At 39.7% G+C, this 27,112-nt stretch overlaps 1 protein-coding gene across 5 annotated transcripts in view, besides 15 other annotated features; it reads left to right on the forward strand.

The window, feature by feature from the left end:
* Positions 16,467-16,975: a transcriptional cis regulatory region, noted in NCBI's record as "-720 to -211". NCBI's record gives its function as "negative regulation of transcription" and the evidence as "EXISTENCE:reporter gene assay evidence [ECO:0000049][PMID:19116246]".
* Positions 16,467-17,552: a promoter, noted in NCBI's record as "HindIII/PvuII fragment for V2P1". NCBI's record gives the evidence for it as "EXISTENCE:reporter gene assay evidence [ECO:0000049][PMID:17991764]".
* Positions 16,467-18,806: a biological region, named in NCBI's record as "GHR upstream promoter region module A". NCBI's record gives its function as "regulatory_interactions: GHR".
* Positions 16,976-17,548: a promoter, noted in NCBI's record as "P2 promoter; -211 to +362 relative to 5' most ovoid transcription start site (PMID:19116246)". NCBI's record gives the evidence for it as "EXISTENCE:reporter gene assay evidence [ECO:0000049][PMID:19116246]".
* Positions 17,116-17,150: a protein binding site, noted in NCBI's record as "c-ETS". NCBI's record gives its function as "positive regulation of transcription" and the evidence as "EXISTENCE:protein binding evidence [ECO:0000024][PMID:19116245]".
* Positions 17,158-17,258: a promoter, noted in NCBI's record as "core promoter; -29 to +71 relative to 5' most ovoid transcription start site (PMID:19116246)". NCBI's record gives the evidence for it as "EXISTENCE:reporter gene assay evidence [ECO:0000049][PMID:19116246]".
* Positions 17,180-17,329: an enhancer, noted in NCBI's record as "active region_22511". NCBI's record gives its function as "activates an Ori minimal core promoter by ATAC-STARR-seq in GM12878 lymphoblastoid cells {active_cell/tissue: GM12878}" and the evidence as "EXISTENCE:reporter gene assay evidence [ECO:0000049][PMID:35858748]".
* GHR (growth hormone receptor) overlaps positions 17,184-27,112 on the forward strand; it is a 298,440-nt gene continuing 288,511 nt past the window's right edge. For 2 of the 5 annotated variants that reach the window (NM_000163.5, NM_001242460.2), the window contains exon 1: positions 17,184-17,700. Coding sequence is in view for 1 of the 5 variants with exons in the window: in NM_001242399.2 (NP_001229328.1) it covers positions 18,334-18,343 (10 nt within the window). In the remaining 4 variants the exon portion in view is untranslated. Of the gene's footprint in view, positions 17,701-18,196; positions 18,344-18,725; positions 18,784-27,112 lie in introns of those variants that run through there. The other 3 variants (NM_001242400.2, NM_001242399.2, NM_001242401.4) reach the window with 2 other exon arrangements.
* Positions 17,260-17,280: a protein binding site, noted in NCBI's record as "Hes1 site 1". NCBI's record gives its function as "negative regulation of transcription" and the evidence as "EXISTENCE:protein binding evidence [ECO:0000024][PMID:19116245]".
* Positions 17,313-17,353: a transcriptional cis regulatory region, noted in NCBI's record as "+125 to +165". NCBI's record gives its function as "positive regulation of transcription" and the evidence as "EXISTENCE:reporter gene assay evidence [ECO:0000049][PMID:19116246]".
* Positions 17,456-18,224: a promoter, noted in NCBI's record as "(-585)V9 promoter". NCBI's record gives the evidence for it as "EXISTENCE:reporter gene assay evidence [ECO:0000049][PMID:11316758]".
* Positions 17,877-18,224: a promoter, noted in NCBI's record as "(-165)V9 promoter". NCBI's record gives the evidence for it as "EXISTENCE:reporter gene assay evidence [ECO:0000049][PMID:11316758]".
* Positions 17,897-17,925: a protein binding site, noted in NCBI's record as "V9 (CCAAT)". NCBI's record gives the evidence for it as "EXISTENCE:protein binding evidence [ECO:0000024][PMID:11316758]".
* Positions 18,389-18,806: a promoter, noted in NCBI's record as "SpeI/BxtXI fragment for V3P3". NCBI's record gives the evidence for it as "EXISTENCE:reporter gene assay evidence [ECO:0000049][PMID:17991764]".
* Positions 18,464-18,503: a protein binding site, noted in NCBI's record as "GAGA1/2". NCBI's record gives the evidence for it as "EXISTENCE:protein binding evidence [ECO:0000024][PMID:21238539]".
* Positions 18,582-18,611: a protein binding site, noted in NCBI's record as "GAGA3". NCBI's record gives the evidence for it as "EXISTENCE:protein binding evidence [ECO:0000024][PMID:21238539]".

Genomic DNA, 27,112 nt, shown 5'->3' on the forward strand with positions numbered 1-27,112 from the left:
AAGTGAAAATAGCACAGGCTTTGAAGTCAGTTAGAACTAAGATCAAATTCCTGCTCTCATTCTTAATGGGTGAACTCTCTGAGCCTTAGTTCCTCAAATGAAGGGTAGTTGTGCTCTGTCCTATCTCACAGCAGAGTTAAATATATAAACAGCTATGAGGAACAAATAGACAAATGTGCCGTATAAAAATTAAATATTCATAAAAACAATGTACCATTTTAAAAAGTCAAAAGACAACAAATGTGGGAGCATTTTAAAATTTGCTTCCTTCATAATAAACATAAACTTCTAAAAGTGGAATTTCTGTATAAAAGGATACATGCATTTAAGTTTATAAATATGCCAAACTGTTCTGAAAATAAGTTTTACCTATCTATATTCTCAATTGACATTGAATAAAAATGTCTTTGTCTCCACACCCTGACTGATCATGTGCACTATTGACACATTTTTCCCCAACTTGATAGGTTAAAAAAAGTTCCTTGCTGTGATTTACATTTCTTTAACAGTGAATTAATTTGAATATCTTTTCATATGTTTATAATAATTTATTTTTGTTTTTCTATCAATTTTCTGTTCTTAACTATTTTTGAAATATTTATTTTCCTATTGAGCTGTTTCTAAATCAGTTTTTAAGATCTCTTATATGTTAACTAAATTTTTCTTGTTTTACCTGTTGCAAATAATTGTTCATTCTATATTCTTTGGTGTTTGATTTTTTTACCATGGTGATATATTATATTTAATATAAAGTAAAATTCTAGACTATGTAGACAAACATATATGACAAACCTATATCTGCATATAATTACTTTCTTCTAGTGCAAAGTATACATTACCCATGATAAATCCAGGTAGGAAGAATAAAACACTAAATTCCTTATCATTGGGTAAAACATGTTAATGTTGTTTTGAGGTGATCAGCGCCGCATTTTGTAATTATATAGATATATAGATTTTGACAAGACCATTCTGCAAAACAAGCCTCAGCCAAAAGAATGAATTTTATAATTGCTTTTAAGATGCTCAGAAGGATACATTTAGGGTAGAGCAGCATGAGGTGAGAGTGGGGAATTTTACCAGGAAAATTTTGAAGACCCTGATTCTCGCCACAAAATATTGAGCTGCTGATTCTACCAGTCTTATTATAGCCACATTCAATTATTTAATTGTACTAATGCTATTTATTTCTGTAAATTTATTTTCAGAGAGTGATCTAAAGGGTAAAAATCAGGCTCTAAGTTATGTTTTGATAGCTTTCAGTTCGGAATCAACATTCATCATGCATAAGGCATGAAAGTATGGTTAAAATGGTTTATTAACTCTTGTGAATCATAAGCATAAAAGAATCAATTGATATATTTCTAGTAAATGTAATAAACCCCAAGATAATGCAGTACTTAGGTCAATCTTTTACATCAAGTAATCCCAGGAAAACTGGAGATTGTAAATAAATCTCAGATATCTTGCTCATTTTAGTTTTTGTTTATCTGGATGCATTTCGCTCAATCCCTGAAACTCATAGTTTCACAGACTCATTGAGATTTTCATGAACTATAAAAGCAATTAAATATTTAAATACAAAATTCTCAAATTCAAGATATTACTAAACTGAAAATTGTAAAAAATAACTTTTGAACCAAAACTTTCTGTGGTAATCATGAAGTAAGCAATTTATGTTTCTTAAAATTAAATTTCACCAATGTCTTTGAAATAAGAAGAAGTTAAAGATGAGTATGAGATTGCCCCTACTTTCTAGTAGCATTTTTTCCATTCAGGAATCTCCATGAAAATTTTAGAGGGAGAGAGGGCCTCTGGGTCTTATCTTATATAACACCATTGCCACTACATTATCCAGCCCACTACCTCTGGCCCCTATTAAGATGATCTTGAGAAACAATTTCTATGGATTAGTTTCAGAAGGATATGCACTTCTAAAAATAACTGCTTGGCTTTCACTTTATATTAACATACATGTTGTAAAGGATTATGATATTTTATTTGTTATAGCCACAAAGAAACTCAGAGCCAAGCTAAGAGCCCACTTCTAGCAAAAGAACAGGATGTTATGATACACATTACAAGAGCTAACTATCCCTGCTGGTTATCTCAGTTTTATATCCTATTTTTCTTACATTCTCATTTCCTCACCTGTTTTATTTATTTATCTTTTTGGCTTATATGTATTTCTAGAAGCCACCTCAAATCCTCTTTTAGAAGAAAGAGGTAGAGAAACATTAAATATATGAGTGAATAAGGTAAATAAATAACAACACAGATGATAAGGATATACACAGATTAAGAACTCTGACATATTGGTTTGGAAGATTATCTAAGTCTGCATAAATAAAGTGATTGTTATGCATCAACCAGTTTGTTTTATCCAGGCTTTCTATCATGTTGAAATTACTAATAAATTGGTTCATACCTCATCTCATACTATATAATAAATGTTTATTTAATGTTGCTTGTGAATCAAGTCATTGTAAAGTGAATCATATATTTAATCTACTAGAGAAACTTACCATTCAAGCACTTCGTAAAGCACAGAATTTTAATATTCTATTAAGATTCAACTTCTTATATAGATGAGGTTTCCATTATGCAGATTCAGAATTTATGTTCCCTGATTTAAAAGAAAACTAGAGTGCAAAAGCAAGGTAGAAGTCCTTGTTCTCTCATATACCCAACCCCCTTACACTTTCCAAAATTTTCACTACCTACATTTTCCTAGAAAAAATGTTTCATGTAATTTTTTCCAAATTAAAAAATAAATATTCATAAATAATGTGTGTAGCTATATGTGTGCAAAATATATAAAGTTAGATAAAATAAGAAAGAACTAAACAGACATTTTTGAAAGAAAAGATCCAAAAAATCAGTAAACATGAAAAGGCATTCAAGTTCCTAAGAAATCAGGGGAATGCCAGTTTAAACCATGATGTAGTATGCTCCACAGGCACCAGAATGGCTAAAACAAAAAAAGATGAAAAATACCAAGTGTTGGTAAGAATGTAAGAAATGAAATCTTTCATACACTGCTGGCAGAAGCACAAATTCATACAACCACTTTTGAACATCGTTTGGATATATATATATACTCAAGAAAAATGTGGACAGTCTCTAAAAGACATACAACAGAATGTCCATAGGAAAACTATTTGTAGTAACCAAAAATTGAAATCTACCCAAATATCCATAGATAGTAGTATTTTGCTATCAAGTTGTTGCTGTCTTCTGCATATATGTTTCCTACATATTTCACATTGTATTACTTTTCTTTTAGCTTTATTTTCAATAATGAGCATCAGATAGCCCGAAAAATGAAATTCAACTTTTTAAACAAGGATTTGATAAGTTCTTAATACACTGAATTCTATACTGGGCTCCTCAATTGAAAACCAACCCTGAACCTCTTTTCCAAGCTGCTCTTAGACGAATATCTGCCCCCTTCCAGCCCTGTTCCCACTAAAGAAATGTACAGAGGTCTCCAGGAGATCATACTGTAAATACTGCTCACTGGCCCATGCTAGAGAGTTCCCGAGCTGTCTTTCCTCCAGCAATGTCCCCATTCACCAGACAAGGAAACTTTGGATGAATGAGATATGCCTGGCCATGAGCTGTGGTTCCTCTTCAGACCATTCTTTGTGATATCTCAGACTTTGGAGTTCCTAGCTGAAGTGTCCTGGAGTTCCAAGGTGGGGGAGGGAGAGGTTGGCTAGAGCTTGGACATGTATGCTTCTATACACACATATATAGGAGACCGTTGCTGAGCATAGTGGGAGCCAAGAGTGGGGAAAGTGGCAACGACTGGGGACTAAGAATCAAACTGAGGACCAGATATCCCTGCATGACTAACTTCTGGTGCAAAATTCTGAGAGGTCTGAGAAATCTAAATTCAAACCTGTCCTTTCAGGTCATTATGAAGGTATATTTCTGAAGGTAAGAGGATAGAACACATTGTAGCCAACAATTCATTAGACTGACAATACTTTAAAATATTAATATTTAGCCTTATGGACTTATACTATGCGGGCTTCATTTGTCCTCTGGCTGTGGCTCCCACAAATGTTAGAAGTGGGCCTACATGTGATGGAACTAAAATGCAATAGACTTTCCTTATGTCCTTCCCTGCTACCACTACCATTAGTTTGGTTCCTAGATATTGAAAGATAATTTTAAAGATTTTGCCAAAGACAGATGCTTGTAGGGTGGTGGCTTGAAAACACAAATTGAGCAAGATGGTAGCATGGCTACATGAAAAGGTATGGAGTTGTCCACAGAATGCTCTTGTTTCACTGGACTATATCAATCTCATTGTGTGACTTGGTCTAGTTGATTTTCTTCTCCAAGCCACTTTCTTACTAAAAAAGAAAGGACAATCACACCTTTTTCACAGGACTACTGTGAAAAAATCCTTACATAATTTATGTGATTTGTGCTTGGAATATTGCACAGTGTTAAAAAATATGGTAAACACATTTTAGGAAGCAAATAAAATTTGGACAATCTGATTTATTTTTGTCTACAACAGCTGAAACCTATTTTACTTAGCTTTTAAGTTCTTTTATAGAGGTATCACTGTTTTTTATGTGGCTAGACATCTCAGCCTTACACCTGGTTCAGAAAGTGCTCCAGAGGGCCAGTGGCTGGGAGAAAAGTGCTATTACCTTGCTAGTCATCTTGTTCCTCAATATAGCCCTTACCCTACCTAAGGAGTTTTTCCAGCCAGAAATTCTCCAGTAGTTCATACCCTCACTTGACCTTTTCTGGCTTCACTGGGTAGACATTGAGTAGGCAGAGCTGGGTTTTTTTCAAGCTCAAAAGGGTTCAGTGTTATTTCTCTTGGGCATCCATGATGCCCTCAGTCAAGTCTGATTAGCAAGTTACATTGAGAGTTCATTTAGTAATTGGAAATGATCTGTGTGCCTTTTATGAAGGAAAGCGGTTATGAGAAACTTTCTCATACCTGGTCAGATTCCTTTCTCATTTATATCCTTTTTTTTGCTTTTATATTTTCACTTCTTTTAAAAATTAAGAAGATAGAGGTAAAGAAAAGAATCCTACAGTATGTGAAGATAGGCAGTAGGAAAGGATTGAAATGGAAAATGAAAGAAGGGATAGACATCCCTTTATCACACTGAGGTGCCTGAATTTACTTCCTGGGAGTGTAGGCTGAATAAGTAGCATAGGTTGTTTGGAACTGGGATCCCACCACATCTAACAGACTCCAGGGCTTCTGTCATTTCATTACTCTATGGCACCTAGCTGAAAGCTTATGGTCTTCCTCTATCTTGTGGTGACCACAATGGAATTGAATTTGATACCGGGAACAGCAATTTATGAAGGAGTTTGATAAACTGGAGCACACACCAAGGAGGTAGCCCAGGATGGTGTAGGGTCAGCAAGTCTCATTGACTTCTCATGTCAATGAGAAGTAGTGAAAACACCTGTGTGTGTTTGGTCTGGAGAAGAGGTAACTGGCAGTATGACATGTAAGTGTGTCTCATGAAACAAACAAATTTAAATTGCTAATTTTTTCCCTATGAGAGATAGAATCAGGTACAAATAATAGAATAGCAAATTCTTAGTAACATATTTTTAACAAATAATGCAGTCATGCTGCCCAGTGAGGGAATTAGTGGGTTACTCATCAGTACAATTATTCAGAAAGCAGAAATCATCTCAATGTTTCTAATTGTTTCATCATCTTTGATAGATGATTGTCTATCAGATGGGTTTTTTAAACAGGCTTTTGCATTTGGTGAGAAGGTAAAGAAAATAATGTCAATTTTTAAAAATCTCCACACTTAAATTATTTAAAGGGGAATGTTTATTCATGAGTCTCTTTTGAGACCTGTTTGATTTTGTTCCTCTCTACCAGGTGGCTGTACATAATCTGGCATATCCCTGGCCTGTAACTTTCCTGTGGGTGAATCCACTAAAGAGCATAAAGGAGATCAGTTTTATTTATTCCTTTGAGTTTTTATAAACTCTGAATTGAAATACCTATTTTTTGAAATTCATAAAATAAATGGTAATTTTTGTTCGTTTGTTTTTGCTTTTTTAATTATACTTTAAGTTCTAGGGTACATGTGCACAACGTGCAGGTTTGTTACATAGGTATACATGTACCATGTTGGTTTGCTGCACCCATTAACTCATCATTTACATTAGGTATTTCTCCTAATGCTATCCCTCCCCCATGCCCCTACCCCATGACAGGCACCAGTGTGTGATGTTCCCCACCCTGTGTCCAAGTGTTCTCATTGTTCAATTCCCACCTATGAGTGAGAATATGTGGTGTTTGGTTTTCTGTCATTGCTATAGTTTGCTCAGAATGGTTTCCAGCTTCATCCATGTTCCTTCAAAGGACATGAATTCATCCATTTTTATGGCTGCATAGTATTCCATGTTGTAGATGTGCCACATTTTCTTAATCCAGTCTATCACTGATGGACATTTGGACTGGTTCCAAGTCTTTGCTACTGTGAACAGTGCCGCAGTAAACATACGTGTGCATGTGTCTTTATAGCAGCATGATTTATAATCCTTTGGGTATATACCCAGTAATGGGATGGCTGGGTCAAATGGTATTTCTAGTTCTAGATCCTTGAGGAATCACCACACTGTCTTCCACAACAGTTGAACTAGTTTACACTCCCACCAACAGTATAACAGTGTTCCTATTTCTCTACATCCTCTCCAGCATCTGTTGTTTCGTGACTTTTTAATGATCACCATTCTAACTGGCGTGAGATGGTACCTCACTGTGGTTTTGATTTGTGTTTCTCTGATAACCAGTGGTGATGAGCATTTTTTCATGTGTCTGTTGGCTGCATAAATGTCTTCTTTTGAAAAGTGTCTGTTCTTATACTTTGCCCACTTTTTGATGGGGTTGTTTCATTTTTTCTTGTAAATTTGTTTAAGTTCTTTGTAGATTCTGGATATTAGCCCTTTGTCAGATGGGTAGATTGCAAAATATTTCTCCCATTCATGTAGGTTGCCTAGCTAACTCTGATGGTAGTTTCTTTTGCTGTGCAAAAACTGTTTAGCTTAATTAGATCCCATTTGCTAATTTTGGCTTTTGTTGACATTGCTTTTGGTGTTTTAGTCATGAAGTCCTTGCCCATGCCTATGTCCTGAATGGTATTGCCTAGGTTTTCTTGTAGGGTTTTTATGGTTTTAGGTCTAACATTTAACTCTTTAATCCATCTTGATTTAATTTTTGTATAAGGTGTAAGAAAGGGATCCAGTTTCAGCTTTCTATATATGGCTAGCCAGTTTTCCCAGCACCATTTACTAAATAGGGAATCCTTTCCCCATTGCTTGTTTTTCACAGGTTTGTCAAAGATCAGATGGTTGTAGAAGTGTGGTGTTATTTCTGAGGGCTCTGCTCTGTTCCATTGGTCTATACACCTGTTTTGGTACCAATACCATGCTGTTTTGGTTACTGTAGCCTTGTAGTATAGTTTGAAGTCAGGTAATGTGATGGCTCCAGCTTTGTTCTTTTTGCTTAGGATTGTCTTGGCAATGAGGGCTCTTTTTTGGTTCCATATGAACTTTAAAGTAGTTTTTTCCAGTTCTATGAAGAAAGTCATTGGTAGCTCGATGGGGATGGCATTAAATCTATAAATTACCTTGGGCAGTATGGCCATTTTCATGATATTGATTCTTCCTATCCATGGGCATGGAATGTTCTTCCATTTGTTTGTGTCCTCTTTTATTTCATTGAGCAGCGGTTTGTAGTTCTCCTTGAAGAGGTCCTTCACATCCCTTGTAAGTTGGATTCCTAGGTGTTTTATTCTCTTTGTAGTAATTGTGAATGGGAGTTCACTCATGATTTGGCTCTCTGTTTGTCTGTTATTGTTGTGTAGGAATGCTTGTGATTTTTGCACATTGATTTTATATCCTGAGGCTTTGCTGAAGTTGCTTATCAGCTTAAGGAGATTTTGGGCTGAGATGATGGGGTTTTCTAAATATACAATCATGTCATCTGCAAATGGGGACAATTTGACTTCCTCATTTCCTAACTGAATACCCTTTATTTCTTTCTCTTGCCTGATTGCCCTGGCCAGAACTTCCAACGCTATGTTGAATAGGAGTGGTGAGAGAGGGCATCCTTGTCTTGTGCCAGTTTTCAAAGGGAATGCTTCCAGTTTTTGCCCATTCTTTATGATGTTGGCTGTGGTCTTGTCACAAATAGCTCTTATTATTTTGAGATACCTTCCATCAATACCTAGTTTATTGAGAGTTTTTAGCATGAAGGGCTGTTCAATTTTGTCAAAGGCCTTTTCTGCATCTATTGAGATAATCATGTGGTTTTTGTAGTTGGTTCTGTTTATATGCTAGATTATGTTTATTGATTTGCATATATTGAACCAGCCTTGCATCCCAGGGATGAAGCCAACTTGATCTTGGTGAATAAGCTTTTTGATGTGCTGCTGGATTCAGTTTGCCAGTATTTTATTGAGGATTGTTGCATCGATGTTCATCAGGGAGAATGGTCTAAAATTGTCTTTTTTTGTTGTGTCTCTGCCAGGATTTGGTATCAGGATGATGCTGGCCTCATAAAATGAGTTAGGGAGGATTCCTTCTTTTTCTATTGATTGGAATAATTTCAGAAGGAATGGTATCAGCTCCTCTTTGTACCTCTGGTAGAAATCGGCTGTGAATCTATCTGGTCCTGGACTTTTTTTGGTTGTTGGGCTCTTAATTATTGCCTCCATTTCAGAGCCTGTTATTGGTTTATTCAGGGATTCAGCTTCTTCCTGGTTTAGTCTTGGGAGTGTGTATGTGCACAGGAATTTATGCATTTCTTCTAGATTTTCTAGTGTATTTGCATAGAGGAGTTTATAGTATTCTCTGATGTTAGTCTGTATTTCTGTGGGATCAGTGGTGATATCCCCTTTATCATTTTTTATTGTGTCTATTTGATTCTTCTCTCTTTTCTTCTTTATTATTCTTGCTAGCAGTCTATCAATTTTGTTATCTTTTCAAAAGAACCAGCTCCTGGAGTCATTGATTTTTTGAAGAGTTTTTTGTGTCTCTGTCTCCTTCAGTTCTGCTGTGATCTTAGTTATTTCTTGCTTTCTGCTAGCTTTTGAATTTGTTTGCTCTTGCTTCTCTAGTTCTTTTAATTGTGATGTTAGGGTATTGATTTTAGATCTTTCCTGCTTTCTCTTGTGGGCATTCAGTGCTTTAAATTTCCCTCTACACACTGCTTTAAATGTGTCCTAGAGATTCTGGTACATTGTGTCTTTGTTCTCATTGATTTCAAAGAACATCTTTATTTCTGCCTTCATTTTATTATTTACCCAGTAGTCATTCAGGGGCAGGTTGTTCCGTTCCCAGGTAGTTGTGCAGTTTTGACTGAGTTTCTTAATCCTGAGTTCTAATTTGATTGCTCTGTGGTCTGAGAAACAGTTTGTTGTTATTTTTGTTCTTTTACATTCGCTGACAAGTGCTTTACTTCCAACTATGTAGTTAATTTTGGAATAAGTGTGATGTGGTGCTGAGAAGAATGTATATTCTGTTGATTTGGGGTGGAGAATTCTGTAGATGCCTATTAGGTCTGCTTGGTACAGAGCTGAGTTCAATTCCTGGACATTCTTGTTAACCTTCTATCTTGTTGATCTGTCTAATATTGACCGTGGGATGTTAAAGTCTGCCATTATTATTGTGTGGGAGTCTAAGTCTCTTCGTAGGTCTCTAGGGACTTGCTTTATGAATCTGGGTGCTCCTGTATTGGGTGCATATATATTTAGGATAGTTAGCTCTTCTTGTTGAATTGATCCCTTTACCATTATGTAATGGCCTTCTTTGTCTCTTTTGATCTTTGTTGGTTTAATGTCTGTTTTATCAGAAACTAGGATTGCAACCCCTGCCTTTTTTTGTTTTCCATTTGCTTGGTAGATCTTCCTCCATCCCTTTATTTTGAGTCTATGTGAGCCTCTGCATGTGAGATGGGTCTCCTGAATGCAGCACACTGTTGGGTCTTGACTCTTTATCCAATTTGCCAGTCTATGTCTTTTAATTAGGGCATCTAGCCCATTTACATTTAAGGTTAATATTGTTATGTGTGAACTTGATCCCATCATTATGATGTTAGCTGGTTATTTTGCCCGTTACTTGATGCAGTTTATTCTTCACGTTGATGGTCTTTACAATTTGGCATGTTTTTGCAGTGGCTGGTATCAGTTTTTCCTTTCCATGTTTAGTGCTTCCTTCAGGAGCTCTTGTAAGACAGGCCTGGTGGTGGGTAAATCTCTCAGCCTTTGCTTGTCTGTAAAGGATTTTATTTCTCCTTCATTTATGAAGCTTAGTTTGGCTGGATATGAGATTCTGGTTTGAAAATTCTTTTCCTTAAGAATGTTGAATGTTGGCCCCCCTCTCTTCTGGCTTGTAGAGAGGGATCTGTAAAGATCTCTTGTAGAGAGGGATCTGTAAAGATCTCTTGTAGAGAGGGATCTGTAAAGATCTCTTGTAGAGAGGGATCTGTAGAGATCTCTTTCTGCCAAGAGATCCACTGTTAGTCTGATGGGCTTCCCTTTGTGGGTGACCCTACTTTTCTCTTTGGCTGCCCTTAACATTTTTTCCTTCATTTCAACCTTGGTGAATCTGATGATTATGTGTCTTGGGGTTGCTCTTCTTGAGGATTATCTTTGTGGTGTTCTCTGTATTTCCTGAATTTGAATGTTGGCCTGCCTTGCTAGGTTGGGGAAGTTCTCCTGGATAATATCCTGAAGAGTGTTTTCCAATTTGGCTCCATTCTCCCCATCAGTTTCAGGTACACCAATAAGACGTAGGTTTGGTCTTTTCACATAGTCCCATATTTCTTGGAGGCTTTGTTCATTTCTTTTTACTCTTTTTTCTCTAAACTTCTCTTCTCACTTCATTTCATTAATTTGATCTTCAATCACTGAAACCTTTTCTTCCACTTGATCAAATTGGCTACTGAAACTTATGCATGCATCATATAGTTCTCATGCGATGTTTTTCAGCTCCATGAGGTCATTTAAGGTCTTCTTTACACTGTTTATTCTAGTTAGCCATTCGTCTCATCTGTTTTCAAGGTTTTTAGTTTCCTCATGATGGGTTCAAACATCGTCCTTTAGCTCGGAGAAGTTTGTTATTACTGACCTTCTGAAGCCTACTTCTGTCAACTCATCAAAGTCATTCTCCATCCAGCTTTGTTCTGTTGCTGGCAAGGAGCTGCAATCCTTTGGAGGAGAAGAGGCGCTCGGGTTTTTAGAATTTTCAGCTTCTCTGCTCTGGTTTCTCCCCATCTTTGTGGTTTTATCTACCTTTGGTCTTTGATGTTGGTGACTACAGATGGGGTTTTGGTGTGGATGTGCTTTTTGTTGATGTTGATGCTATTCCTTTCTTTTTGTTAGTTTTTCTTCTACCAGTCAGGTCCCTCAGCTGCAGGTCTGTTGGAATTTGCTGGAGGTCTACTCCAGAAACTCTTTGCCTGGGTATCACCAGCAGAGGCTGCAGAACAGCAAATATTGCTGCCTGATCCTTCCTCTGGAAGCTTCATCCCAGAGGGGCACCTGCCTGTATGAGGTGTCTGTCAGCCCCTACTGGGAGGTGTCTCCCAGTTAGGCTACACGGGGGTCAGGGACCCACTTGAGGAGGCAGTCTGTCCTTTCTCAGAGTTCAAACACCATGCTGGGAGAACCACTGCTCTCTTCAGAGCTGTCAGACAGGGCCATTTAAGTCTGCAGAAGTTTCTGCTGCCTTTTGTTCAGCTATGCCCTGCCCCCAGAGTTGGAGTCTACAGAGGCAAGCAGGCCTCGTTGAGCTGCGGTGGGCTCCACCCAGTTCAAGCTTCCCAGCCACTTTCTTTACCTACTCAAGCCTCAGCAATGGCTGACGTCTCTCCTCCAGCCAGGCTACCACCTCGTAGTTTGATGTTGGACTGCTGCACTAGCAGTGAGCAAGGCTCTGTGGGTGTGGGACCTGCTGAGCCAGGCACAGGAAGGAACTTCCTCGTCTGCTGGTTGTGAAAACTGAGGGAAAAGTGAAGTATTTGGGCAGAAGTGTACCATTCCTCCAGGTACAGACTGTCACTGCTTCCCTTGGCTAAGAAAGGGAAATTCCCCAACCCCTTGCTCTTCCCGGGTGAAGCGACGCCCCACCCTGCTTCAGCTTATTCTCTCTGGGCTGCACCCACTGTCCAACCAGTCCCAATGAGATGAACCAGGTACCTCAGTTGGAAATGCAGAAATCACCCGTCTTCTGCATCAGTCACGCTGGGAGCTGCTGATGAGAGCTGTTCCTATTTGGCCATCTTAGGTTGTTTTCCAATAAATGGCAATTTTAAGCTTTCACCTGGCTCTGGGACCTCCTCATAAATTTTGGCTAAGAATACCCAGATCATGAAATAACATTTTCCCTGTTACCTTCCAATATAGGGGGAAAGCAATAAATACTTCCCTAAGTCATTTTTTTCTCTTCATGATTCCCTTGCCATCCTCACCCAAGGCAGTTGTGGGATGGAACTAGGGGACTAAGATAAAGAGAGTACCCTAGTCAAAGAGCTCTCACAGTGTGCTCACAAGCATCACATGCTCAATTCCATGATATGCTGAGTCCTGGGCAAGGAAGGAATTCTCAGCACTCTTGTACCTGCTACCTGACATTCTTGAGCCTCTTACCCTGCTATGGTTTTCTTTAATCAGCACTTCAGTGATTTACTTATTATGTTTATTGTTCATTGTCTCTCCTAACTAGAATGCAAGCCCCATGAGGGCAGCATCTTTGTAGATATGTGGTATAAATTTTGTTCCCTGATGCATGCTAAGTTTTTAGAACGAAGTCTGTCATAGTGTAGGCTCACCAACATTTGTATGAATGAAAGAACATGGTGAATGGGAATTCAGTGTTAGTTTAAAAAAAATTCATTAAAGGGATAATATTTTATTAGAATCTTATTAATTTTACCAGTAAATATTGTATTAATCAGGGAGATATATATATATATATATGTCATATTCATGAGATATATATATATATATATATGTCATATTCATGAGATATATATACAGAGACTTATTTTGAGAAATTTGCTCACATAATTGTGAAAACTGAAAAGTCAAAAATCTACAGGGTAAATTGGTTACAGATTTAGGGAATAGTTGATATGCAGTTTGAATCCAAAGGCTGCCTGCTGACAGAATTTTCTCTTCTTTGGGATAGGTCAGTTTTTTTCTCTTAATGCCTTCAACTGATCGATTGAGGCCCACCTACATTATGTAGAGCAATATGATTTACTCAAAGTCTATTGATTTAAATGTTAATCTTACCATAAAAATGCCTTTGCCAAAAAAATCTAAAATAATATTTGACCAAATATCTGGGTACCATGGTCTAGCAAAATTGACACATAAAATTAACCATCTCAATGTGTCAACTTTGCTAGGGCATGGTACCCGGACATTTGGTCAAATATTATTCAAATAAATTTAGAATTTATCACAAATGTTTGATATCATAATTTGATTTACAAATATCAATCTAATACTTTATTTTACAGCTGAATGATCTCAGAGAGCAACCCCTTCCTTCTATAGGCCAAGAAATGGAGTCATTGTGAGATTAGTAACTAATTTACCCAAAATCACAGAGGACCCACACAGGATCCCAAGGCTCCTGACTAACAATCCTATGTTCTTCAACTACAAATGCTATAAAACAAAACAGCTATAAAATGCTACTTTAAGTGTTTTGGCCTCTTTTGTTTTGTTTTGAGAAGAAGCTTTGGCATTTTATAGTACAACAGAGTGACTAAAGCCATGCTCTAACCTCAGATAACTGTAGATTTAGGAAGTTTATACTGTGGTGTTTTATGGTTTGGGGAGATGGCGATCTGACCTAGATATCTGCACTTGAATATATATAATCAGAATTATTTTCTAATTGTTTCTATTGTCTTCAAGGCAGTTTATATTTTTTGCTAAGCCCTACTGGGGATGTATAAAAGACTGGGGAAGGGTGGGCCATAATAAGGTAAGGCCATAATAAGGTAAAATAGGTTGGACAAGATAAGTTAGCCAATATCTGAGTAAAGACTTCAAGGAACTGTAGGAGGAAGCAAATGAATATTTGTGGAAGTGTGTTTAAATCAGAGAGAAAAGCCAGCAAAAAGCCTTCAAGTTAGGAGTCTGCCTGGCCTGCTTAAGAAACAGCAGGGAGGCCGGTGTGCTGGGAGCAGAATGGATGACCCAGTGATGGGGAAATTCATGGGAGATGAGGTGTGGGGCAAAGGTACATAGCTCACGTAGGGTCTCATGGGCCATTTTGAATTTTATTCTGATTTGAATGGGGAACCATTGGAGGGTTTTGAGCTGAGGAATGACATGATATTAATTTTAAAAGGAATGACTATGGCAACTGAATTTATACTTTGGGTTGTTGTTGGTGTTGGTTGGGGATTAGGGGTGGGGTTTGTCAAAGCAAGCAGACCAGTTGAGTTGAGAGACTACTGCAGTAATCTGAGAAATTCTGGTGGTTCAGACCAGGTGTCTCTGGACCTCTCCAAGAAAATAGACAGAGTTTTGAATGTGGAATGTGATTGGCAGAGAAGAAGTAAGGATGATTTCAAAGGTTTGTGGCCTGGGTAACTGGCAGGAAGTAGTTGCCATCTACTGAGATGGAAATGTCACCCACTGTGATTGGAGTATGTTTAAGGAGAAAGAACCAGAGTTCAGATGTGGACATGTCAAGTTTCAGAGGTCTGTTAGACATCCAAATGGAGATACCCAGTTGTTAGCCTGGAGCTCTGTGGAGAGATCTGGGTTAGAGATATAAATCCAAGAGATACAACTTTTCATTCAATTTGATTATTTATTGGACGCTTTATAAACTCTGTAAATACTGGGCACTAACCTAGACATTGCAGGTACAGATATTAAGAATATATAGTTTCTCCCTCAGAAATCTCTTAATTAATGAGAAAAGCAGACATGTCAACAAAACTGCAATATTTAATAAAAGAAGATATAAAGGCCTATAAAGGTGCTGATACAGGGAGAATTAATTAATTCCACCCTGGGGAATAGTCAGGAAGACCTTCAGAGAGAAAGTAAACAATTGATTGGAACTTTAAGATTAAGAAGGATTTCTCTGGGTGGACAAAGTAGGATCTTCCAAGCAGAGTGGAAACCATGAGCAAATGCAGTTTCATTCTTCAGAAGGTAAATGTGCTCTGGCATGCCTTAACTTATAACAAATTAATCAACTCAATACCTGCTACATTTTCCCTCACAATTTGGAATATATAAAGAGGCACATACTACTATGGACCAATACCTGGTCATATATGAGATTGAAGGACCTTTACTTACGAGGCTTAAAAATAAAGACTGCCCTTCATGTCAGTTGCAGGTTTATATCTAGTTCTATAGTATTAACTGAGGTGTCTTTTCCTATGTTTTCTGTGCATGATGACTTTTTAAAAATCAAAGACAGAGCAGCAGCCAGAGTAGTCTAGTTTCATGGCACACAGAATGGAGGATATTGCTGAACCCAGATTTAAAAAAAAAAAGAAGTCAATTCTTATTTTTTTAAGTATGGCCCTGAGCTCATCTCAGAGCATAAACAATAGAATTTAGAATATCTTTTATGACTCCGTCTGGCACCTCCTAAACTAGATCAAGATTCTCTAGCTCAGGGAAGAAGGGCAAAGGATGAGAAGGCACAGAGAGGATATAAACAGAGAGGTTGGTAGTGCCAGGCTCTGAAGAAGGTCCAACTTGGAAGGTCATTTCAGACAGGCGTGGAGTCAGCATTTGAGGCCTGTCTGGTCTCTACTCCTGCCAGGACTACCCTGTCAGCCAGCTTGGCAGGTATGGACCACCCAGCAGGAGTTTTTCTTGACTGTGCCCTAATCTTTTACTTTCCCAAGTTTCTCTATATGGGTACCTCCCCTTTTAAAAGCTCCAGACACAGCCAAGCACCACTATTGCTCCAGCAAAGTATGAAGCCCCAGAAATCAATGGTTTGGGGAAGAGTCTTAGGGGAACTAAATGCCTCCTTATTTTTAGATGCCATAGAACAAGAGCAGTTCAGGATCAATAACCATCCCACCCCATGATAAAACACGCCCCTTCCAGAATCTTTCCTTTTTCGTTCATTCTAGGTGTCTGTCTGGAACAGCTGGGGTATTTGAGCCACAGCTGAGCTTCTGAAAGCATTCTAAGGAACAGTTTTTCACTTATCTGATTCCTTTGAAAATAGGGGTATCTTATGTGATATCTGCTATCCCAGAGTCTTTGGTCCTCTGTTCCTTCTCAAGTCTTGGCTCCCGTGTACTACTTCAAAGCCCTATAGATATTTTATTCTAAAGAAAAGAAACTTGGTTCCTTTAAGTTGTTTAAACATTTCTTTCTGGGTATAAACTTGGGTTTGTGTCTGGGAGCTCTGTTAAAAAAAAAAAGTCTTTAGTAAGCCAAAGCTGTTAGAAGCTTATAAGTAAGTGACATTACAATTGACCGTCAGTAAATAGTGGAAAGATTGCATGACTAGCTACTCCTTCAGATCTGAGACAACCTGGAGCTAGATTTTTGTACTCTCTACTCAGAAAAGCATATAGTGACTTGGGGTTTGATGCTGTACAAAAATGACATGCTTATGCACAACTTTAACTTTCTGCAACACTTTTACAACTTCTTGTGAATGAAGTAGGCAGGGCTCGCATTTGACAGATGAGCTATGTCCAGCGTGAGGCAGAGTTAAAACCCTTTTCCTGGCTCAGGAACTTCAGGCTGGGGCCTGTGTCTGCTCTCCCTGCATCCCTGTCCTCTAGCAGATACCTCTCTGCTAACATGCTGAGTGTCCTTGGTAAATTACTCATTCTCTCTGTCTCCGTCTTCTAACCTCCACAATAAAGTCCTTCGTAGTTTTAACTATCTTTTCACTGTGCCCCAGTGAGCAGGAGTTTGGAACTTGATTGTTGATGGAAAGGCAATATTTGGATGGCTAAACACGCTTTCCAAGGTATCTCGCTGATCTTCCTCTCATTCCTGGAGATAGCTAACCTTTTTGTAAGTGTTTCTTTGAGTCTGTGGACTGCACTTAACGCTCTTGTAGGTCCTGCTTTCATTTGGAACGGGCAGGCGGAGAGGAAGGAAGTGTATTGCAACTACCAATATTTTCCTCTAGGAGGAGCCGCGCAGCTCAGTTGAGAGTGACACGCACCAACTCCAGCTCCTCGCCGGGAAGACTTCATCCCAGCAACTCGGAATGCTTGGCCCGGGCGGCACTCGGCCTCTCCGCAGCAGTTCTCGAACTGGCCTCCTTGAACGTCCGCTTCGCCTTCGCTTCTGCAACCTGGATCTGGGGGACTGCGGGCCAGGCGCGGCGTGACCCCTGGTGAACGGTGGCCGCCTTTTCCCACCCCTGCCCTCCCATCCTCCCTTCCCGTTTCACCCCGCCCCCTCTCTCCTCCCCAAGCCTGACAGCCCGCGAGCTGCCAAGCAGGGCGCAGCCATGGGAAGAGGAGGAGGGCTAGGGAGCGGCGGCGGCGGCGGCAGCGGCAGCAGCAGCTGCTACAGTGGCGGTGGCGGCGGCGGCTGCTGCTGAGCCCGGGCGGCGGCGGGGACCCCGGGCTGGGGCCACGCGGGCCGGAGGCCCCGGCACCATTGGCCCCAGCGCAGACGCGAACCCGCGCTCTCTGATCAGAGGCGAAGCTCGGAGGTACTGGAGTGGGGCTCCGGGAGTCTGGCTTTATTTTCCTCCTGTTGTGCCAGGGGGCCTGAGGGTGAACCCTGGGACTCTAGTTGTTTATGAAAACGGGAGGATCTGTCTTATATATTTACACGGATAATTTTTTATTCCGGATGACTTGGCTGTGCTCCCCTCCTCCTTGCGAAGAAGTTGTTTTCTGCTGGTGGGTTGTTGTAACCCAATCTAGTGTGTGTGTGTGTGTGTGTGTGTGTGTGTGTGTGTGTGTGTGTGTGTCTGGAAGTTGGTGAGGGCGGCAGGGAGTTGCGGGCGACAGACGAACCATCACACTCTGGCGTCTGCTCTGGCCCGCGAGTAGTGTACGTGGAGGGGTTTACTCCGGAGACAGTTTTGTTAAAGTCATAAAAGTTTTGCTAGTGTGTTTCTGTTTGCCATCATCTGCCTGGCTGCGGCAGGAACTGCCGAGGCTGCTGCTGTTGCGCGGGGAAGAATCCCCGGCAGCGCGACTGGAGAGACTGGGGAGGTCGAGCTGTGCGCGTGGACACAGCGCGCAGAGCGCGCGGTCTTTTGCGCGTTTGTGCGGGCCGCAGCCGCACGTTGGCACCGATGGAACTGGGGTCAGTAGAGTGACAGCCACCAGTCCGCATGAACTGGGGTAAGTGGAAATTGTGGCGAGCCGACCTCCCCCAGCTTTTGACACACTAGTGGTTGTAAAATCAACCAGGCTTAAAGTTTTGACAGAACTGCCAGAGGCTGCGGGTCAATGGGGTGGCCGCGTGTCTAGGGAGAGGGCGCTGGCGGCGCAGAGGGTGCGGGGCAGGGCACTTGCGAGTGCGTGGGGAAGTCTATTTGGGGCGAGTGCTTTATATATAGCCCGAGGGGATGCCTGCTGAGACCGAGCTGCGGGGGCTCTCGGTCTGGCGCGGACTGTGTGTCCTGAATGAGTGTACGTGTGCGCTGTGTGTGCGCGCGCGAGTGTGCGCCTGGGGAGGCGTGTCGGCGCCTGAGCCAGTAGGGTGTGCAGGGTGGAAGAGGCCACAGAGGTGCCGCCTGTCTGTTTGTGCCGCCAGGAGACCTTGGAAGGGACAGAGAAAGGTAACGGAAGGCCAAAGTGTTGGGAAGTCAGAGTAGTTTCTGCATAGGATTAAGTATTAAGGGCTTTAAAATAACTAAACGCATTGCCCTGAGTGGCTGAGGACTGGAAGTGAGGTTTTGGGGAGTTCTCAGGAGAACTGCATGGGAGGGCGTTTGGGAGGTCTAAGGGATGTGTAATATGTGTGAGTACAGAACTTCGGAGACAGACACAGGTTGGAGCTATGAATTTGAAATTTTCAGGGTGCTGCTGTCCACAGTCCAGGGACTGGCTGGTTTCAGAGGTATTCAGGCTCCCTGGTGTGTGTGCCTGGGAAGACACTCATCTTTTCTTGCAGACATGGGATATTGTGGCAGGTCAGGCTCTGTTTCCTGAGCAACTGGTGTTCCAGGCTAGTTTCCACCTGAATCACCCTAGAAGTGTCTTTTTTCTGATGATAAATGTTGAAACCTTTCCAGAAATTAAAATGCTGGATAGAAACAAAATTGATGCAGCAGACAGGATTGTTGATTCTATTTATTCAGTGATTGGGAGCTCTTTTTCCTTTTGAGAAAAGCAAAGCTCAGTGTTTCCAGATTAGATTTCAAGGAGTCTTCAGCTATCTACAGCTTCCCTTCTGGGCCTTTGGATGGAGCTGGAAGGATGTGTTTTGGCCTAAAGACCTTTGGAAGACATCATGTGTAGCTTAAAGAGGTTGTCCCGTCTCTCATCATCTTCTTCCACCCTTATAAACTTTTTGTTTTGCATTAATCTAAGGAAAGTTGGTGTGTCAACATTTAGCTTTTTTTTATTGGAGTAAATATATCACAGTGAAATTATAGTTATGGTCTCCTGAAGCCCATGGAAAGCCAACACTTAATGGGCAAAGGTGTGAAATGAAAGTCTATAAATGCAATGACAAAGTGACGAGATGAGTGCATTCTTTTTTCAAAATGAACATAACTGTGCTCACAAAAATTTGTTTTAGCCAGGCTTTGGGCCCATGTTTTTTATTATTAGTTTTTAAACAGCAGACTCCACATCATAAACCACTTTAAAATGGATACTAGAGGCCTCCTGTATGCTATCTCTGGCGCCTGCTTAAACAGATGTTTACAGTGCTTGGTAACCTATGGGATTGTCATGTTGAGTATCTTGTTAGCTCAGGACATAATGTTTATAGCATAATATAATAAATGGAGCCACAGTTGCAGCGTGCTTCTTCCAAGTGCATGAAGCAAATCTTGCAGCAGGGAAACAAATCTTGCAGTTGGTCCAACTTGGCTAGCCTTCTTTGGCTATCTCCTGGTGAGCAATGTTAATGTAAAGATAAATGTGAGTGACGTAGTGAGAAAGTGGGACAGTAAATTGTTTAGCTTAGTGAAAAAAGCATGGATTATGTTTTTTAAATCTGCTAACCTGAAGATTACACTTCTCAGGTCGTACCACTGGCAAATTGCACAACTATGGGAATTTGGTTTGCTTTTAAAGAGCAATTTTTAAAAAGTATGTCAGTAATGAAAATAACTTATATTTCTTAATGTGTTTATGTGTGTCCATACAAGCCAATACTTTTTCTTCTTTAAAAAGAACCCTATAATTTCTGTGGTAATTATTTAAATATTATGAGCATTCAAATCTCCTAATCACCTTTTCAATCTTCAATTGATAAGAATCGAAGTTTGGTAAGACTGGAGTCATCCCTCAGCCAATTGTGTAAACAAGACAGTACAGAATGTCTTTCTGGCAAGTAATTTTTTTCAACCTGAAACAGATAATATAAATAATATGTCCCATAAAAGAATTACTTAAGATGATAATTACTTTAGAGGTAATTATCTGGTGCATGAACCTCTATCTGTGAAAATGGTCTAGTCTATCTCTTATTGGAAATAATCAGTTGGAAATCTCCCTTTTTCATTGGTCAGTCCATTCTAGGAAAGATTCATTTCTAGAAAGTTCTTATACTGAATCAACATTTTCTTCCATCCACTTGCCTATCCTTCAGCAGCTGACCACAATGAATCTAGTCTCTTTTCCCTGTGTTTACCATACTTGAAAACAAATATTATCCTCCTTGCCGAATCCCCTTTTGCCTACTCTTGGAGCAGTTTTTCATCCACTATAGGGTTCCACCCTCCTCTGCCTTGAACAAGATGCCCTTGATTGTACATTCTCATTGTATTAGTCTGTTCTCATGCTGCTAATAAAGACATACGTGAGACTGTGTAATTTATAAAGAAAAAGAGGTTTAATGGATTCACAGTTCCACATGGCTGGGGAGGCCTCACAATCATGGCGGAAGGTGAAGGAGGAGCAAAGGCATGTCTTACATGACAGCAGGCAAGAAAGCATGTGCAGGGGAACTGCCCTTTATAGAACCATCAGATCTCATTAGACTTATTCACTATCATGAGAACAACATGGGAAAAACCCACTTCCATGATTTAATCAACTCCTACTGGGTCCCTTCCACCACATGTGGGAATTATGGGAACTACAATTCAAGATGGCATTTGGGTGGAGACAAAGCCAAACCATATCATTCCGCTCCTAGCCCCTCCTAAATCTCATGTTCTCACATTTCAAAACCAATCATACCTTCCCAACAGTCCCCCAAAGTCTTAACTCATTTCAGCATTAACTCAAAAATCCACAGTCCAAAGTCTCACCTGAACCAAGGCAAGTCCCTTCCACCTATGAGCCTGTAAAATCAAAAGCAAGTTAGTTACTTTCTAGATACAATGGAGGTACAGGCATTGTGTAAATATGCCCATTCCAAATGGGAGAAATTGGCCAAAACAGAGGGGCTATAGGTGCAAGTCCAAAGTCTAATAGGGCAGTCATTAAACCTTAAAGTTCTGAAATGAACTCCTTTGACTTCATGTCTCACATCCAGGCTGTTTTCATGGCTGGCATTGACTGTGGCTTTTCCAGGCACATGGTGCTAACTGTCAGCCCCTACCATTGGGGGTGCTGGGGAATGGTGGCCCTCTTCTCTTAGCTCTACTAGGCAGTGACCCACTGGGGACTCTGTGTAGAGGATCCAACCCCACATTTCTTTTCCTCATTGCCCTAGCAAGGGTTGTTTATGAGGGCTCTGCCCCTGCAGGACAACTCTGCCTGGACATCCAGGCATTTCCATACATCCTCTGAAATCTAGGTGGAAGTTCCCAAACCTCAGTTCTTGTCTTCTGTGCACCTGCAGGACCAACACCACATGGAAGCTTCCAAGACTTGGGGCTTTCACCCTTTGCAGCCATGGCCTGAGCTGTACCTTGGCCCCTTTTAGACATGGCTAGAGGGGCTGGGACACAGGGTACCAAGTACCTAGGCTGCACCTAGCAGGCCCAGAAAACCATTTTTCCCTCGTAGGCCTCTGGGCCTGTGATGTGAGGGGCTGCCATAAAGGCCTCTGACATGTTCTGGAGACATTTTCCCTATTGTCTTGGTGACCAACATTTGGCTTCTCATTACTTATGCAAATTTCTGCAGCAGTCTTGAATTTCTCCCCAGAAAATGGGTTTTTCTTTTCTATGGCATCATCAGCTTGCACATTTTCCAAACTTTTATGCTCTTTTCACCTCTTGAATGCTTTGCTGCTTCTAAATTTCTTCTGCCAGATACCCTAAATAATCTCTCTCAAGTTTAAAGTTCCACAGATCTCTAGGACAGGGGAAAAATGCCACCAGTCTCTTTGCTAAAGCATTAACAAGAGTCACCTTTGCTCCAGTTCCCAACAAGTTCTTCATCTTCATCTGAGACCACATCAGCCTGGACTTTATTGTCCATATCACTATAAGCATTTTGGTCAAAGCCATTCAACAAGTCTCTAGGAAGTTCCAAACTTTCCCACATCTTCCTGTTTTCTGAGCCCTCCAAGTCTCTAGAAAGTTCCAAACTTTCCCACATTTTCCTGTCTTCTTTTGAGCCCTCCATACTGTTCAAACCTCTGCCTGTTACCCAGTTCTAAAGTTGCTTCCACATTTTTGGGTATCTTTACAGCAGCACCAACTCTACCATTACCAACTTACTATATTAGCCCATTCTCATGCTGCTAACAAAGACATACCCAAGACTGGGTAATTTATAAAGAAAATTAGGTTTAATGGTCGCACAGTTCCACATGGCTGGGAGGCCTCTCAATCATGGCAGAAGGTGAAGGAGGAATAAGGCACTCTTACATGGTGGCAGACAATAAGGCATGTGCGGGGGAACTACCCTTTATAAAACCATCACATCTCATGAGACTTAATCACTATCGCAAGAACAGCATGGGAAAAACTCGCCCTCTTGGTTCAATGACCTCCCACTGGGTTCCTCCCATGACACATGGGGATTATGGTAGCTACAATTCAAGATGAAATTGGGGTGGGGACACAGCAAAACCATATTACTGACTGTCCCTCCTAATGTGTGTTTTCTAAACAAAAGATTTATAATTTGTAGTTCTGAACATTCTATATCTATTAAGACAGTTTAATATTAATGAAATTCTTTAGCCATTTCATTACGCTCTTGATTAATTTCATACCTATAAACAAGATAACTTGTTCTTTTCAGATTATTAATCATCCATAGTCAAAGCATTTTTATAATAGCTTCAAAACATTTTTTCATGCCTGAATGTACTATAAATTTATGGAAAGTATAATACTGTGTGGGTAAATAAAATTCTATAAACAGTGCAAATAGTGACTTAATTTCTCCCTATCAAGGAATATCAACCCCAAATATACCGAAAGTAGAATGTTCCAAAGATAAACAAGTTGAAACTACATGTTATAGACAGGTAGGGACTATGATGTATTTTTTTCATAGGCCTCATTGTGTCTGCTTCCATGAACATGAGTCAGTACTAGCAATCAGGCATTTATTGAAGGCTTGTTCTGCCAAAGTCCCAGAGAGTATGCCATCTGGCCTTAAATGAAGTGAAAGTACATCAAATAAAGATACTTCCTTGGGCAACTGGGATTTAAGATGTGCATGCAGGACATGTCTAAGTCAGCCATCTACTTTTTCTCAGGAGGTAAATGGCTTGCCAATGCCACAGGAAAGTCTAAAGTGTTCACACTCCATAAGCAGGTCCCATGTCCTGTTGTAGGTCTGGACAGGAGCTGGACAAAGGCCCTGTTACTCTTAGCTTACCAAGTCTTAGCTGCCTTGGAAGAAGATAGCAAATCTGGCTTATCCAGAGGAGAGGCCTGAAGTGTGCATTGGGCACCTACCTGGTGTGACTGATTTCTCTTTTATGTATCTGTCTTGGGCTTCCAGCTAAATTGTGAATTCCCCTTGCCACCAAGCTAAGAATCTGCCACAGCATTGTCTTCCTGCACACACACACACATACACACACACAAAAACATATATGTTGGATGATGAAGAGACAATGTCAGTTTTTCAGCAAGTCTGAATGTGAAACAAATGGCTATGTTTCTTGGTGCAGTGGGGTGGGAGGATGAGAGAGAAAAAACAAACCTGTGATATAAACTGACATCTGAGCCTACCAAAAGCCCTTTGAGAGACCTTTGATCAAGACAAGGGGATAATCATAGTGTTGTGCACTTAGATAAAATTGTCCATGCTAGTCCCGTGTGTGTGTGTGTGTGTGTGTGTGTGTGTATGTGTGTGTTTCTTCACTTTATCCCCAGCATTATGGTCTCAATTCATACACATTTGCTTTTTTGCTTTATTCTAGTCTGATATGAAGGGAAGAAATAAGCAATGATTCAGTTCCTTTTTTTACATTTCAAACATTCATTTCACTACTCCCCACCTCCCAGTCCTCACCCCCCAAAATTACAAGAGACCCATTGGCAAGTACTTGGACATGCAATTTTCAAACCAAAGGTTTACTTTGCTATAAGAAACGTCTAAGTTAGGATGATATAATATGAAATAATAGTAAATTAGATGTCAAGAAACTTGGGTCCTCTCCAAGCTCTGCCTTTAATGGGCTTTGCAGTTTTTGCCAACTATTTAACCTTCCTGGGCTTCATATTTCTTGTATGTTAAAAACAAGCAAAAAGGAGAAGTAAACAAAATGACCCCTTAGAATTCTCTTCAGGGCTATTGTTTGAATCCATTTAATTATCAAATTTCTCTCTTCTTTTAAATGTAAGCATCAAAAAATGTTTGCCTATTTTATTCTCTCATCATTAATTTTTAATCAATTAAATAAAATAGATAAAAATTTTATCAAAACCATGCTTCTTGCTTTCATTCTAAAACAATGCAACTCATCACTATCTGATGCAGAAAGTCTTTCTGAAATATTGTTTTTCTCTTTTGTTGTTGTTTTTTTCTTTGTGCTAAAGAAAATTCATTGATGAGTACCAGGTTCTTCAAAGAAGGATGGAAAAGTCATTGTTTTTTAGTCTCAACTTCTTTCTTCAGTGCTTCTTCCTACCTTTTAATATAGGCAAATAAAGCCTTAGGCCAGGCACTAATTTTACTTAGTAATGATTCATAAGAAGGTAGTGATTTTGTCAGAAATTGCTGGCTGCATGCTTTTAATCAGCATCTAAACTTACCTTCAAATACTCCATTCCAAAATCAGCAGATAACTTCTTCTACAGAGTCTTTCAAACTTCCAGATGTGTTTACTGTTTTGATTAGGGCTTTCTTCTTTTGTTGTTGATAAGACTTCAGCCAGTTTTCTTTAGGCTAACATTATTATATTCCCAATGAATTATACTTCTTAGGTTGTGAATTTGTTTAAAGATAAATCTATCTCCAGCTGGCTGGCTTCTAAGTAAAAAGGGGTATCCTAGGGAAGAAGTGCACTTCACAGGGATTCAGTACAGGTGTAGAGAATTCCCTGATAGAGAATTGGAACACATCAAGAGTTTGCAAATTGAAAAGGTACTTTTATGTACTTATCCATGGTGGACAACCTGTGTCCTAGGGAAGAAGCGCATTTCACAGGGATTCAGCACAGGTGTAGAGAATTCCCTGATAGGGAACTGGAACACATCAAGATTTTGCAATCTGAACAGGTACTTTTATGTACTTATCCATGGTTGACAACCTACTGTGCTAGACATTTGCTGTAGTAACTCCTTGATTTTTTCCTCGGTTGTTTATAAAATTAAACATTTGAAGTAGCCTATTGAAAAGTCTTAAAAGAAGCATCTCCTCTATTCCTTTAGAATACAGTATATTAAACAAGTGATAAAGTCCAAAGAAAAATCCTTATTCTTTTCTTGCTTTAAAAAATGCACTTTATTTTATTAAGCATTATATCTATCTTTTAAAACTTTGAATTGCCATATCAATGAAAGTAGAGTGTTATCATTACAAAACAGAATCGCAGATAGTTCTTTCCCTGTGCTTATTGAGAGAAAAGGTGCATAATTGATGCTGTAAATGATCATCTTGAATTTGATGATGGCTGGTGAGAAACCTCAGTCAGACATTCAATTTTGATTGCCATTGGTCAGAAAGGCAGCCTTTGTTCTTCGTCACTATGTGGCACATGATCCTAATTCACCCTATCAGCTGCTTCTCTGCACACTTTCAAGCTATGTGATTGTTATACTAGAAAGCCTCTAAGTTGGCCAAACTAATGAAGACTAATCTGACAAAGCATATGTGAATGATAAATTCTGTAAAGACCGTGGAGATAGAGCCTCTGCAGTGGCTTCTTCCCCTGGGGATAGAAGAAGATACCAGAATCCCTGGGCAAGATGAAATAGATAAAGGAAAGGCATCATTTTTATACCTAGGAAATCAGAAAGATTAAAGAAAGAGAAGCAAGAATAAAGAAGAACTACTACTTTCATAGTTCATTCTTTCAATGTAGCACCTTATTTCCCATAGAGACATTGGTGAAGCCATGCTTTTCTTTGCCATAGAATAGGTGTTCAGTAAATATTTTGCAGGTGGCCTTAATATGTAGTAAAACATACAGAAATATGGAAGCATTGACAAGAAGTTTGTGGATAATTTGAGGGCAAAAGGATGTAGATAGGATCAGGTTCATAATGCAAATTTGCTATTATTCTCCTTAGATTAATGATGTCACTCAAACTTCATGACCTGCTTTCCAAGGTGTATGCTGTTCACAGCCTTGGAAACATTTAGAAGTTTTTAGTACTTGGAGCAAGATGGATATATGTTTCACATTTTATCTAGGACTTAGTAGGACTTGGGAGACATATCTACTTTGCCAGATCTTAGTATACTTATTATGGAGCATGACATTTTAATTCTCTTTGCTTTTGTCCTACAAAGTTTAGTGTTTTAATTTATTTTTCTCGGTGCATATAGGGAGAGAATTATTTATATAATCTGAAAAGTACTTTGAAAACTACTTGGGAAAATATGTTGAATAAATAAGTTTTTTTTTAA

The sequence above is a fragment of the Homo sapiens genome, chromosome 5 (assembly GCF_000001405.40).
Source record: "Homo sapiens chromosome 5, GRCh38.p14 Primary Assembly".
Classification (NCBI taxonomy): domain Eukaryota; kingdom Metazoa; phylum Chordata; class Mammalia; order Primates; family Hominidae; genus Homo; species Homo sapiens.